Here is a 15,249-nt window from a genome sequence, read left to right as displayed (position 1 = left end):
GGGGCACAGGCTGCCTTTCTCAGGGTGTGACCTTCTGTTTTAGGTTTCTTATCAAATGATTCAGCCTGAGGCAATGCAATTAACCATTGCTATTCTGCTTCTCTGGTGAAACACTAGACTTGAGGCATCTGAAAAGAATCCTTAGTCTCCCCAGTTTACGGTATGAGAGGTGAAGCAAAAGACTCCCTCCGTTGAAACTTATCTGTTGCCTTAGCCTAAGAATGGTTTCCCTGCACTATGTTGACAAAGTAAGACTCTTTTCTTGTTAAGAAAGTTGATAAATGATGTTGATAAATATTGATGAGAGAGGGAAAGGAGGAAAAGAAAAATGTATTGCATATGTCATGTTCCTTCTCTTTCTGGACTCTATTAGGTTCTATTTATATATTTCTTTATTTTTACAATAATATTACATTGTCTTTATCACATATCTTTGTAGTAATTCCAGATATCAGGTAGCATAAATCTTTTTACTTTATTCTTCTTTTTCAACATTGCAATGTCCTTTGCATTGTCATATAAGCTTTAGAATCATTTTGTCCATTTCTATAAAAACCTCTGATGAAATTAGATTTTGTATTTCATTGAACGTACAAATCAATTTTGATAGAACTGATATCTTAACAATATTGAATTTTCTGATCTTAGCTCATATTATGTCTTTTCATTTACTTAGGTGTTCTTTAAATGTGTTGTACTTTTTGGGTCAAGTTCATTTCTTTTATATGTTTTCTATACTGTTACAAATAAAGTCACATTTTAGAACACACACTGTACAGGTATTCTATTTTTCAGTTCTAGAATTTCAAGTAGTTATTTCTTTATAGATTATATTCTGTATCTTGATTCTTTCATTGGTTTACTTATTATAATTGATAGTGGCAGGAGACAGATAAATTCATGGGCAGACAGGCGTGGGTTCCCAGTGAAACCTACCTTCAAACCAAAGACAATTTAAAGCCTGAAAACTGAGTTGCCAGTCTGGGATAAAGTCCACGACCACAGTGAGAATTTCTATTCCTGTTTGCCCACTCTTTTCTGATTGGTTCTTTCTGAATAATGCTTTTTAACCAATCAAATGTTGCCTTTTCCAAGGCTATATACAGTCTGTGCCTCCTCATTGCAAGCCTGTAAAAACCCTGGACTCAGCCACACAGAGGTTTACCCGCTTTCAGACCCCCTCTCACACAGAAGGCTACCCACTTCAGTTCCCCTCACATTGTTGAGAACTTTTCTGTTGCTCAATAAAATTATTCTCTGCCTTGCTCATTCTCTGGTGTCCATGTACCTCATTCTTCTTGGTCACATGACAAGAACTTGGAACCCACAGAACAGCAGGGACAAAAAGGGTTGAAAAATGTTCCCGGCCAGCTCCTGGCCGAGCTGTGGACAGCATGAATGAAAAGAGCTGCGTCATACTCCTGTTTGCCGTACTACAGAAGTGAAAAGCTGTGACCCTTCTGGGGGCCCAGACCACTGGACTCCCTGAGCCAGGGCTATAACAAGTCCCTCTTCACCAAGCCATGAGTGGCGGGAAGGAACAAGCTATAACATGTTCCCATTTGTTGAGCAGCTAGAGGCTGGAATGAGAGAGATACCTGTGGCATTCCCTAGTGGCTCAGACCACAGAACTTCGTGAGCAGAAGTTGTGACACTCCCATGGGGCTCTGTGGTTACTGGCGTCTCTGAGTTTTTGGGTGTCACTCCATCCCCTTGGTCCAGACACTGGCGCCCAAGGCAGTAGCAAGTCGGTGGCAGCATCCCTGGACCAGCCGTGAGCTGAACGCAGCAACCCCATGTTGAGTGTGGGATCCTGGCTGGTAGCATGACCAGAGGACAGCCTGTCAGACTGAGTGGGCGGAGTGAGCCCAACTGGCTGGAGCAAAGCCCAGGCAGAGGTGCCACGGGCCACAGAGATTCCCAGCTGGTGAAGTGGCACTGAAATAATTCTGTGTCATAATTACCGTTTATTTTAAGTCTTTTAACGTATTTTAAAAAGCTGTTTTTCTCTCCTCATGTGATAAAGACAATATTAAAGCAATATTAGGTTGTGTTTCTATTGACCAATTAAAAAAAATAGACCATGCTTCCTTGCTAATTTACATGGTTGAATTATATTTTCTTTCTTTATAGGGTATTAATTATATTTTGTCAGACGATTAAATTACCCCGGATTTTTGTTGCTTCTGCTAGTCTTGGTTTTAGTCTCTGTTAAGGTAGGTCGATTTTGATTTTGTCATTAGTTAGAGGGTGCACCTTTATTCCAAAGCCATGTCTTTTCTGACTCTCAATTAAATATCTGCAATCTTCAGCAATGTGTCTCATTTCTTTATGGGCCAGAATTGCAATATTTTTATCCTGGTGTGATCTCTGTTATCTTCATTCATTCTCAGCCCAGCACCAGCACATTTCTGCTAAGTGTCGCTGAGTCGTTCTGTGAGCATTACACAACAAGGCCCTCAGTCAAAATAATAATAATAAAATAATAATAATAATAATAATAATAATAATAATAATAATACCCCAGTGTGAGTCCTCACAGACATGTGGGGCCCCTCTGTTCAACTTCTTTCTTTCTAGGAACCTGCCTTGAAAATTCCGTCTACTTCAGCAATATAGAATTCCAAACTCTGCTTCCTTGGCTCAGCAATACCACTGCGTCACTTGAGCTCCGTTTCCGTAAGACAAGTAGAGAAAGTACCCCTACTCAGAATGTTGTTGATGTCTTCTGTCGAGGATTATAGTCCTGCTTTGCCTATTGTTCAATGCATGAAAATAATCACTTCATATATTTTGTCCAAGTTTACACTTATTTACAGTGGAAGGGCAAGTCAAGTAGCAGTTATTTATTGATGGATGGACATTGAATTGCCACATAAATATATTTTTATTATTATTTCAATGATGGAAATTTCTGACTAGTTAAAAGTAAATTTGCATCACTATTAATTTATCACTCTAAAGGTTTTATAGTCATCAATATTTTTGGCATATTTATCACCCACCCTTGGAATATATTCGTGCTGTTGCAAAAGTTTTAAAAACCTCTGATTTTTAGTATAAAATTTATGCTCTAATTCGTTGAAAATTTGTTTGTGATATTCTAAGCCAAACCCTTTGAATCCCAAACAATTATTATATTTTGCCAGTATGTGATTGTGGAAAAAAAAGTCATATTTTACTGCATAAAATCAGGAAAGGTGAGTATGATTTTCAAGACTATTTTGGAATTTGTACCCAAGAAATCAAGACTATTTATATTTATACCTTTTAGTATACCCTTTCCTTGGATAATAAGCATCACCTCAAAGTCTAGTTTAAATGGGAAAAGGAACATACAGTCAAAGGTATTACTGAGAAAGAAAAATACACAAGAGAATAAATCAAAACATTATCCACTAAATCAATCACTTCCCTAGGCTCAATAATCTACAAGTAGAGACCATTATTTCATGTTCTCATTTTATGCACGTAAAATACCATCTGAGAGTCATGTTACTTCTTAAAGTCCTGGAATACACTGCAGGAATAGAATTTTTATGTGCATGATCTGCTTTAAACGGGAAACATAAAATGAGACTGGGAAAGTTAATATCTTTTATGCAAACTTCTATCTCATCACTTAAGAGAATTTTAGTATAAGAAGAAAAAAAACCCTAATAAATCAGTAAATGTGAAAACCACAAAAAATCAGAAAAAACAAGTAAAAGTTCTTTAAAAAAAGTTCTTAAAGTATTACATTTATTATGGCTAAAATTTAATCCCATAACGAAGACCTTATGATTTGCACTGTAAAACAAGAGCACTTTGGTGATATGATGATGTATCTTCCCTCACCAATTTCAGTTTGTGTTGTGTGATTATTTCTGAAAACATATTAGGTTTTCACATAGATTTTTTTCTGATAAATTAATTTCAGAAAAATGAGATTTTTGTTGACTTCCTTTTCTAATTATAATTTTCTAATGTCTGTTTTAAGAAATGAACCATAATAGGATCACACAATAAGAGGAGATAAAATTCCTAATGTTCACACATTGCACATCTGACCTAATTCATCACAGGTTCTGGTGTAATGTAGTATTTTATTATTATATATTTTGATGATAAATTATTTTTTATAGAAGTGAAAAGGATGACTGACTTTCCAAAGTGATATTGGCAATCTCCCTGTTATAACTTATACTACTAGGCTTTTGAGAAGATAAAAATACAAATTTCATTAGAATCATTAACAAACTAAGCTTTATTTTTGCTTTTATTGCAAGGCTACTTCAAAGAATAACCAACATACAATATGTCGACTTTTGAGAACAGTTTTATGAGGTTCTGTAGTTCGTGCAGTTCATTACATTTTGAAATTAAATGAAATGATTCATTATATTATTGTATATGACCTAATATTACTAATGCATTTATTAATATTTTATATGCTGACAATCAGCAATAATCACAGAAGCAAGTCAATTCACTAAAATAAGACCGGTAGTGCTTGTTAGGGTTGTGAGGAAAAAATTAATTAAGCAAAACATTATTCAAGAATGGATGTATTAGTCCATTTTCACGCTGCTGATAAAGACATACCCGAGACTGGGTAATTTATACAGAAATAAAGGTTTAATTGGACTTACAGTACCACGTGGCTGGAGAAGCCTCACAATCATGGTGGAAGGCAAAAGGCATGTCTTACATCACGAGAGGAAAGACAGAATGAGAACCAAACGAAACAGTTTCCCCTTCTCAAACCATCAGATCTCATGAGACTTTTTCATTACCATGATTACAGTATGGGAGAAACTGCCCCATGATTCAATTATCTCCCACTGGATCCCTCTCACAACATGTGGGAATTTTTGGAGTATGATTCAAGATGAGATTTGGGTGGGGACACAGAGCCAAACCATATCAATGGACTATCCAGTTTAACTACAAAATAAGGGAAACTAGGAACTTGTTGATAAATGTTAAACCTCAGATGATGATCTTTACATATTTATAGAAACCTACTGTATCTTTTCCACTTGCCTGGACTTACAGTAGAATGCATTTATTTGTCTCCTTCACCAAGAAGTCAGAGTCACAGAGTCTTAGAATTGTATGGTAGCTCAGTAATGACATCTGGGACTGAGTATCTTTCTGCCATCCTGACCTGCCAATTTGTGTGTGGCTTTCATCTCTGTAGAATCAGGGATGATGCTGCATTTCCAAATATTTTATTTAGTTTTTCAAGCAGGAAGAAGGGTGAAGAATAAAAGAGCTGATGGTAAATGTACCATTCCATCTTATTTGCCAGTTTTCCCAGAGACTCCACCCAAGAACTTCTGTTTTCATCTCCTCATTAAAAGTAGTCATCCCTAACTTCAGACGAGTCTGGAAAGGTAAGTATTTACTTTTTCCACCTACATAAAGGAAAGCAAGAAACAAAAGAGTCTACTATTGGGGTAGTAAGTCCACGCTGCCTGCCATCACTGTTATAAGCCAACTATGGTATTATGACTTCTTTAAGCTTAAGGTATCTATTGTCAGAAATAAAAAACATAGATAACATTTGCTACATTTGGGCTACTCTATTCAACTTCACATCTGGTAGAAAATTTTCTCTTATAAAGAAATTCAGTTTGCAGGGAGGATTTTTTTTTCTCTTGAGAATGTGAGTGTGCTTCTGGAATGGATAATTTGTATCCAGATGTCAAACAAAGGGGGCAGGGAAACTACCCTGCATAAGAGGAAGTTTTTAATTCTTTAGAGAAGAGGTTCATGGTACAAATTCTGTAAAGGTGACTAATTAACATGAAACCTCAAAACTCAAGTAAAGTTACTAAATTCATAAAATGCATGTTGCAACTTAATTTTTTGAAAATTGCAGAGGGGCTGTATATTGTATCCTGTCCAATATTAGGGAAAAACAGGATGAGCATATGATGTATAGGACCTATAGAAAGGCTACTGGAGGAAATCAGCCTACAGGACTCTTTTCATTATAGAGAGTAATTTGTAGTGTTTTTAATGTATTGGGGATTTCCTGCAGTTTATTTAGAACTCTCAAGGCAGGAAAAACCCTGCTGGCATATAGGTTGCACACAGAAGACCTGAGCTAGTAAATTCCTAGCAAGTGAAAATTTTTGCAGAACTACATGCATGTGTAACTATGTAGTTAAATTAAAAAAAAAGACAGAGAGAGAGAAGAGGGGGATTTAAATACCTTTGATCCTGGAATTTTCTTTTCAATTTATGGTCATTGTTGTTGGAGATTAAAAGACAGACTTCTCCAGAAGGAATATTCTCAACTATTTTTTTATTGCCATGTTGTCAGATAATTTGAATTAAAAGCAAATTTTTCATTAATTCTTTTAATAAATTTTTTTGCTTTTTCCTTCCAGTAGAATTATGAATTTTAACATAGGCATAGTATCTCATGTATGTTTAATAATTTATTTAATTAAACTTTAATTCATGGAAAATAGGTTCTTTCAACTTTTTATGATAAGAAACTGTACTGTAGTGGCATACCTTTTTGTACTAATGAGATTATTCTCCTTAAGAATATACTACTGGGGCGGTGGGTTGGGGGGAGGAGCCAAGATGGCCGAATAGTAACAGCTCCAGTTTACAACTCCCAGCGTGAGCGAGGCAGAAGACGGTGATTTCTGCATTTCCATCTGAGGTACCGGGTTCATCTCACTAGGGAGTGCCAGACAGTGGGCGCAGGTAAGTGGGTGCGCGTACCGTGCGCGGGCCGAAGCAGGGCGAGGCATTGCCTCATTCGGGAAGCACAAGGGGTCAGGGAGTTCCCTTTCCTAGTCAAAGAAAGGGGTGACAGACGGCACCTGGAAAATCGGGTCACTCCCACCCGAATACTGCGCTTTTCCGACGGGCTTAAAAAACGGTGCACCAGATTATATCCCGCATCTGGCTCAGAGGGTCCTACGCCCACGGAGTCTCGCTGATTGCTAGCACAGCAGTCTGAGATCAAACTGCGAGGCTGGGGGAGGGGCGCCCGCCATTGCTGAGTTGTGGTTTGATTAGGTAAACAAAGCAGCAGGGAAGCTGGAACTGGGTGGAGCCCACCACAGCTCAAGGAGGCCTGCTTGCCTCTGTAGGCTCCACCTCTGGGGGCAGGGCACAGACAAACAAAAAGGCAGCAGTAACACCTCTGCAGACTTAAATGTCCCTGTCTGACAGCTTTGAAGAGAGCAGTGGTTCTCCCAGCACGCAGCTGGAGATCTGAGAACCGGCAGACTGCCTCCTCAAGTGGGTCCCTGACCCCTGACCCCCGAGCAGCCTAACTGGGAGGCACCCCCCAGCAGGGGCAGACTGACACCTCACACAGCCGGGTACTCCAACAGACCTGCAGCTAAGGGTCCTGTCTGTTAGAAGGAAAACTAACAAACAGAAAGGACATCCACACCAAAAACCCATCTGTACATCACCATCATCAAAGACCAAAAGTAGATAAAACCACAAAGATGGGGAAAAAACAGAGCAGAAAAACTGGAAACTCTAAAAAGCAGAGCGCCTCTCCTCCTCCAAAGGAACGCAGTTCCTCACCAGCAACGGAACAAAGCTGGATGGAGAATGACTTTGAGGAGCTGAGAGAAGAAGGCTTCAGACGATCAAATTATTCCGAGCTACGGGAAGACATTCAAACCAAAGGCAAAGAAGTTGAAAACTTTGAAAAAAATTTAGAAGAATGTATAACTAGAATAACCAATACAGAGAAGTGCTTAAAGGAGCTGATGGAGCTGAAAACCAAGGCTCAAGAACTACGTGAAGAATGCAGAAGCCTCAGGAGCCGATGCGATCAACTGGAAGAAAGGGTATCAGCGATGGAAGATGAAATGAATGAAATGAAGCGAGAAGGGAAGTTTAGAGATAAAAGAATAAAAAGAAACCAGCATAGCCTCCAAGAAATATGGGACTATGTGAAAAGACCAAATCTACGTCTGATTGGTGTACCTGAAAGTGACGGGGAGAATGGAACCAAGTTGGAAAATACTCTGCAGGATATTTTCCAGGAGAACTTCCCCAATCTAGCAAGGCAGGCCAACATTTAGATTCAGGAAATACAGAGAACGCCACAAAGATACTCCTCGAGAAGAGCAACTCCAAGACACATAATTGTCAGATTCACCAAAGTTGAAATGAAGGAAAAAATGTTAAGGGCAGCCAGAGAGAAAGGTCGGGTTACCCGCAAAGGGAAGCCCATCAGACTAACAGCAGATCTCTCAGCAGAAACTCTACAAGCCAGAACAGAGTGGGGGCCAATATTCAATATTCTTAAAGAAAATAATTTTCAATGCAGAATTTCATATCCAGCCAAACTAAGCTTCATAAGTGAAGGAGAAATAAAATACTTTACAGACAAGCAAATGCTGAGACATTTTGTCACCACCAGGCCTGCCCTAAGAGAGCTCCTGAAGGAAGCACTAAACATGGAAAGGAAAAACCAGTACCAGCCACTGCAAAATCATGCCAAAATGTAAAGACCATCGAGACTAGGAAGAAACTGCATCAACTAACGAGCAAAATCACCAGCTAACATCATAATGACAGGATCAAATTCACACATAACAATATTCACTTTAAATGTAAATGGACTAAATCCTTCAATTAAAAGACACAGACTGGCAAATTGGATAAAGAGTCAAGACCCATCAGTGTGCTGTATTCAGGAAACCCATCTCATGTGCAAAGACATACATAGGCTCAAAATAAAAGGATGGAGGAAGATCTACCAAGCAAATGGAAAACAAAAAAAGGCAGGGGTTGCAATCCTAGTCTCTGATAAAACAGACTTTAAACCAACAAAGATCAAAAGAGACAAAGAAGGCCATTACATAATGGTAAAGGGATCAATTCAACAAGAAGAGCTAACTATCCTAAATATATATGCACCCAATACAGGAGCACCCAGATTCATAAAGCAAGTCCTGAGTGACCTACAAAGAGACTTAGACTCCCACACAATAATAATGGGAGACTTTAACACCCCACTGTCAACATTAGACAGATCAACCAGACAGAAAGTCAACAAGGATACCCAGGAATTGAACTCAGTTCTGCACCAAGCAGACCTAATAGACATCTACAGAACTCTCCACCCCAAATCAACAGAATATACATTTTTTTCAGCACCACACCACACCTATTCCAAAATTGACCACATACTTGGAAGTAAAGCTCTCCTCAGCAAATGTAAAAGAACAGAAATTATAACAAACTATCTCTCAGACCACAGTGCAATCAAACTAGAACTCAGGATTAAGAATCTCACTCAAAACCGCTCAACTACATGGAAACTGAACAACCTGTTCCTGAATGACTACTGGGTACATAACGAAATGAAGGCAGAAATAAAGATGTTCTTTCAAACCAACGAGAACAAAGACACAACATACCAGAATCTCTGGGATGCATTCAAAGCAGTGTGTAGAGGGAAATTTATAGCACTAAATGCCCACAAGAGAAAGCAGGAAAGATCCAAAATTGACACCCTAACATCACAATTAAAAGAACTAGAAAAGCAAGAACAAACACATTCAAAAGCTAGCAGAAGGAAAGAAATAACTAAAATCAGAGCAGAACTGAAGGAAATAGAGACATAAAAACCCTTCAAAAAATTAATGAATCCAGGAGCTGGTTTTTTGAAAGGATCAACAAAATTGATAAACCACTAGCAAGACTAATAAAGAAAAAAAGAGAGAAGAATCAAATAGATGCAATAAAAAATGATAAAGGGGATATGACCACCGATCCCACAGAAATACAAACTACCATCAGAGAATACTACAAACACCTCTATGCAAATAAACTAGAAAATCCAGAAGAAATGGATAAATTCCTCGACACATACACTCTCCCAAGACTAAACCAGGAAGAAGTTGAATCTCTGAATAGACCAATAACAGGATCTGAAATTGTGGCAATAATCAATAGCTTACCAACCAAAAAGAGTCCAGGACCAGATGGATTCACAGCCGAATTCTACCAGAGGTACAAGGAGGAACTGGTACCATTCCTTCTGAAACTATTCCAATCAATAGAAAAAGAGGGAATCCTCCCTAACTCATTTTATGAGGCCAGCATCATCCTGATACCAAAGCCGGGCAGAGACACAACCAAAAAAAGAGAATTTTAGACCAATATCCTTGATGAACATTGATGCCAAAATCCTCAATAAAATACTGGCAAACCGAATCCAGCAGCACATCAAAAAGCTTATCCACCATGATCAAGTGGGCTTCATCCCTGGGATGCAAGGCTGGTTCAATATATGCAAATCAATAAATGTAATCCAGCATATAAACAGAACCAAAGACAAAAACCACATGATTATCTCAATAGATGCAGAAAAGGCCTTTGACAAAATTCAACAGCCTTTCATGCTAAAAACTCTCAATAAATTAGGTATTGATGGGAAGTATTTCAAAATAATAAGAGCTATCTATGACAAACCCACAGCCAATATCATACTGAATGGGCAAAAGTTGGAAGAATGCCCTTTGAAAACTGGCACAAGACAGGGATGCCCTATCTCACCACTCCTATTCAACATAGTGTTGGAAGTTCTGGCCAGGGCAATTAGGCAGGAGTAGGAAATAAAGGGTATTCAATTGGGAAAAGAGGAAGTCAAATTGTCCCTGTTTGCAGACGACATAATTGTATATCTAGAAAACCCCATTGTCTCAGCCCAAAATCTCCTTAAGCTGATAAGCAACTTCAGCAAAGTCTCAGGATACAAAATCAATGTACAAAAATCACAAGCATTCTTATACACCAACAACAGACAAACAGAGAGCCAAATCATGACTGAACTCCCATTCACAATTGCTTCAAAGAGAATAAAATACCTAGGAATCCAACTTACAAGGGATGTGAAGGACCTCTTCAAGGAGAACTACAAACCACTGCTCAAGGAAATAAAAGAGGATACAAACAAATGGAAGAACATTCCATGCTCATGGGTAGGAAGAATCAATATCATGAAAATGGCCATACTGCCCAAAGTAATTTACAGATTCAATGCTATCCCCATCAAGCTACCAATGACTTTCTTCACAGAATTGGAAAAAACTACTTTAAAGTTCATATGGAACCAGAAAAGAGCCCGCATCACCAAGTCAATCCTAAGCCAAAAGAACAAAGCTGGAGGCATCACACTACCTGATTTCAAACTATACTACAAGGCTACAGTAACCAAAACAGCATGGTACTGGTACCAAAACAGAGATATAGATCAATGGAACAGAACAGAGCCCTCAGAAATAACGACACATATCTACAACTATCTGATCTTTGACAAACCTGAGAAAAACAAGCAATGGGGAAAGGATTCCCTATTTAATAAATGGTGCTGGAAAAACTGGCTAGCTATATGTAGAAAGCTGAAACTGGATCCCTTCCTTACACCTCATACAAAAATTAATTCAAGATGGATTAAAGACTTAAACGTTAGACCTAAAATCATAAAAACCCTAGAAGAAAACCTAGGCATTACCATTCAGGACATAGGCATGGGCAAGGACTTCATGTCTAAAACACCAAAAGCAATGGCAACAAAAGCCAAAATTGACAAACGGGATCTAATTAAAGAGCTTCTGCACAGCAAAAGAAACTACCATCAGAGTGAACAGGCAACCTACAAAATGGGAGAAAATTTTCACAACATACTCGTCTGACAAAGGGCTAATATCCAGAATCTACAATGAACTCAAACAAATTTACAAGAAAAAAACAAACAACCCCATCAACAAGTGGGTGAAGGATATGAACAGACACTTCTCAAAAGAAGACATTTATGCAGCCAAAAAACACATGAAAAAATGCTCACCATCACCAGCCATCAGAGAAATGCAAATCAAAACCACAATGAGATACCATCTCACACCAGTTAGAATGGCAATCATTAAAAAGTCAGGAAACAACAGGTGCTGGAGAGGATGTGGAGAAATAGGAACACTTTTACACTGTTGGTGGGACTGTAAACTAGTTCAACCATTGTGGAAGTCAGTGTGGCGATTCCTCAGGGATCTAGAACTAGAAATACCATTTGACCCAGCCATCCCATTACTGGGTATATACCCAAAGGACTATAAATCATGCTGTTATAAAGACTCATGCACATGTATGTTTATTGCGGCATTATTCACAATAGCAAAGACTTGGAACCAACCCAAATGTCCAACAACGATAGACTGGATTAAGAAAACGTGGCACATATACACCATGGAATACTATGCAGCCATAAAAAATGATGAGTTCTTGTCCTTTGTAGGGACATGGATGAAATTGGAAATCATCATTCTCAGTAAACTATTGCAAGAACAAAAAACCAAACACCGCATATTCTCACTCATAGGTGGGAATTGAACAATGAGATCACATGGACACAGGAAGGGGAATATCACACTCTAGGGACTGTGGTGGGGTGGGGGGAGGGGGGAGGGATAGCATTGGGAGATATACCTAATGCTAGATGACGAGTTAGTGGGTGCAGCACACCAGCATGGCACATGTATACATATGTAACTAACCTGCACATTGTGCACATGTACCCTAAAACTTAAAGTATAATAATAATAAAGAAAGAAAGAAAGAATATACTACTAGGGTGATATAATTTGGCTGTGTCCCCACCCAAATCTCAACTTGAACTCCCACATGCTGTGGGAGGGACCCGGTGGGAGGTAATTGAATCATTGGGGCAAGTCTTTCCCATGAAAAATCTCACAAGATCTGATGTTTTTGAAAAGAGGAGTTCCCCTGCACGAGTTATCTTTCTTTGCCTGCTGCCATCCATGTAAGATGTGACTTGTTCCTCTTTGCCTTCTGCCATGATTGCGAGGCTTCCCCAGCCACATGGAACTGTAAGTCCAATTAAGCCTCTCTTTCACAAATTGCCCGGTCTTGGATATATCTTTGTTAGCTGTGTGAAAATGGACTAATACATAGGGTAAGAGTATTGGATCAAGAAATACATTTAGTTAATATTTTGAGACAAGTTGCCAAAATACCTACTGGGAAGATTGTATTAATTTACCTTTCTACTAACAAATATTGGTCACCATTATTTGAATATTAGCAACAATAAGTATCTTCTCCTGTGTGTTGGTTAATTGATTTAATTTTAGAAGTGCCCTATTCTCATCCTTCACCCATGTTTATCATATTTTTGATTTCATAATTTATTTGTGAAAACCCTTTATAATTTAAATTTTTTTCTTTGATATATGTATCTATGCTGCAATTGTTTTTCTACTTTCGATTTGTATTTTAGTTTTATTCATTGTATTTATTGTGCCAATCCAAGACATTTGATTTTAGATAGTCAAATATATCAGTGTTCCACGATATTGTTTCTGGTTTCACTTTTAAGTTTTTACTGTCCATTGATACAAACTTGTTTACCAATGCTTTCTTCTGATATTTTAATAGTATTAATCTCATTTTTATGAATGTGAAATAATTTTTAACTGAGCAGTGAAATGGTAACCTAGCTTCTATTTTTAAAATAACTAGCCCATTGCCTTAATTGCAGTTATTTAATAATTAATCATATCTATACAAATTTTATATATACATTTATTGTATATAAGATATCTGTGAATACTTATGATTTCTGAGCTCTCTATTCTGTTCACTTACTATGCATCATGAGTGGTCCAAGTAATTCTCACTATTAGCAAAAGAAGTGGTCCCCTGTGTATGAGGAACAATTAAAGCATGTTATACAGTGTATATTTAATTACACAATTAAAGTCTATTCTATTGCTAGAGGGTGATAGTAGTTCAAAGCAAGCAAAGACACTCATACCATCTTCTCATTTTAGTCCTGGTAGTGGAATTCCTTAATATTAGGGGTCTTTGCTTAGGAGTTTAGTAGTGGAGACCTGGTTGAACTAGATCTCCAACATGGGGCTTCATGGGGAAAGTCAGAGAGTTAAATGATGTATTTTATGCATCTCACTTACATTCTTGAAACAAGTTTATTACTTGAATTTCCCACTCCAATTTGAAAAAGCAGGGCTCTGTTTTTCCAAGTTGCATATTCCCCAAGACTGCTATAATATAACTGGGAATGGTCCTTATTTCTCCACATTTTAAAAGCATTTCTTATTACATCAAAATATCACAAAGCTTAAGATTTGTGTGTTTTGGGTATATCAATTTTAGTAATTTCTTCTACTGGTACATACACATAATTGACATTTGTTTTCTTCATATTAGAACAAAATAATCTCAAAGAGAACTTTTTTAGACCTTTCTCATATACTCTTTTGCATATTTCTACTTAGACCTACACAATTTAATTATAGAAGTGTTACTGATGTTTTTGAGGACTCATATTGTAACTCATTTATTTTCCCAGAATTCAAAAATATATTCTTCCAAGAAAAACAAAGCCCTGTCTATACTCGATGCAGGTTGGTTTGATTTCATTGTTCAATTTTGGGGAAAGTTACATCTTTATAAGATTATGTTTTTCTCTTCAGAAAAAAGCCACATCTCTCCATTAAAAATCAATGTTTATATCCCTTAGCAAAGTTGTACAGCTTTCACTCTGTATAAGCCTATGCAAGTCTTGTTAAATTCATAAATATGAGTCTTATTTTTGAGTTATTCTTCTTAATGGACATTTTCTTGTATACATCTATTGATTATATGATGCTTTTAAAGTAAATATATTATCCAAAAATAATGGTTATTTCTCCTTTTCTATTCCATATTGGTATCTTCTATTTTTTCCTTTGATTACTTTGTTTAGCAACTCAGGTGGGCTATTGGTGGCAATAGCAGCAAACTCATCACCTTTTGGTATTTTATATGTAAACATAAGTTGGCTTCTATTTACAGATTTATCTACCTACCCATGAACTGTTTTAAAAAAATGTTTTCAGGAATAGTGTTGTATTTTGGTAAGCGCCTTTTCACATTCTGTTGACCTAATCATATTTTTTTCTCATTTTACATGAAAAATAATAACTGTACTACCTAGTCCTACTAATAATCACTACTCCTATTAAAATAATAATAGCTAATCACTACTGGGCACTTATTATGGGCCAAGAATCAGCCAAATAAATTTTGTGTATTGTTTCTTTGATCTTTAATGTAGCCTTCTGAAATAGGTACATTACCTATTATGTTCTGAAGATTACCATTATGTTCTTATCGAGGAAGAACCTGAGCATCATAGAATTTAGCTAATGTGTCAAATTAATTAAACATTACATGATAAAATGGTGAGTC

At 37.4% G+C, this 15,249-nt stretch overlaps 2 annotated features.

Moving 5' to 3' along the window:
* Positions 6,251-6,816: an enhancer, noted in NCBI's record as "NANOG-H3K27ac-H3K4me1 hESC enhancer chr12:74903073-74903638 (GRCh37/hg19 assembly coordinates)". NCBI's record gives its function as "activates a minimal SCP1, AML or CMV promoter by ChIP-STARR-seq in naive H9 embryonic stem cells {active_cell/tissue: H9 hESC(naive)}" and the evidence as "EXISTENCE:reporter gene assay evidence [ECO:0000049][PMID:30033119]".
* Positions 6,817-7,383: an enhancer, noted in NCBI's record as "NANOG-H3K27ac-H3K4me1 hESC enhancer chr12:74902506-74903072 (GRCh37/hg19 assembly coordinates)". NCBI's record gives its function as "activates a minimal SCP1, AML or CMV promoter by ChIP-STARR-seq in naive H9 embryonic stem cells {active_cell/tissue: H9 hESC(naive)}" and the evidence as "EXISTENCE:reporter gene assay evidence [ECO:0000049][PMID:30033119]".

Source organism: Homo sapiens, chromosome 12, assembly GCF_000001405.40.
Source record: "Homo sapiens chromosome 12, GRCh38.p14 Primary Assembly".
Lineage (NCBI taxonomy): Eukaryota > Metazoa > Chordata > Mammalia > Primates > Hominidae > Homo > Homo sapiens.
Note: the sequence above shows the minus strand (reverse complement) of the source record. Positions and strands in the feature narration are given on the sequence as shown.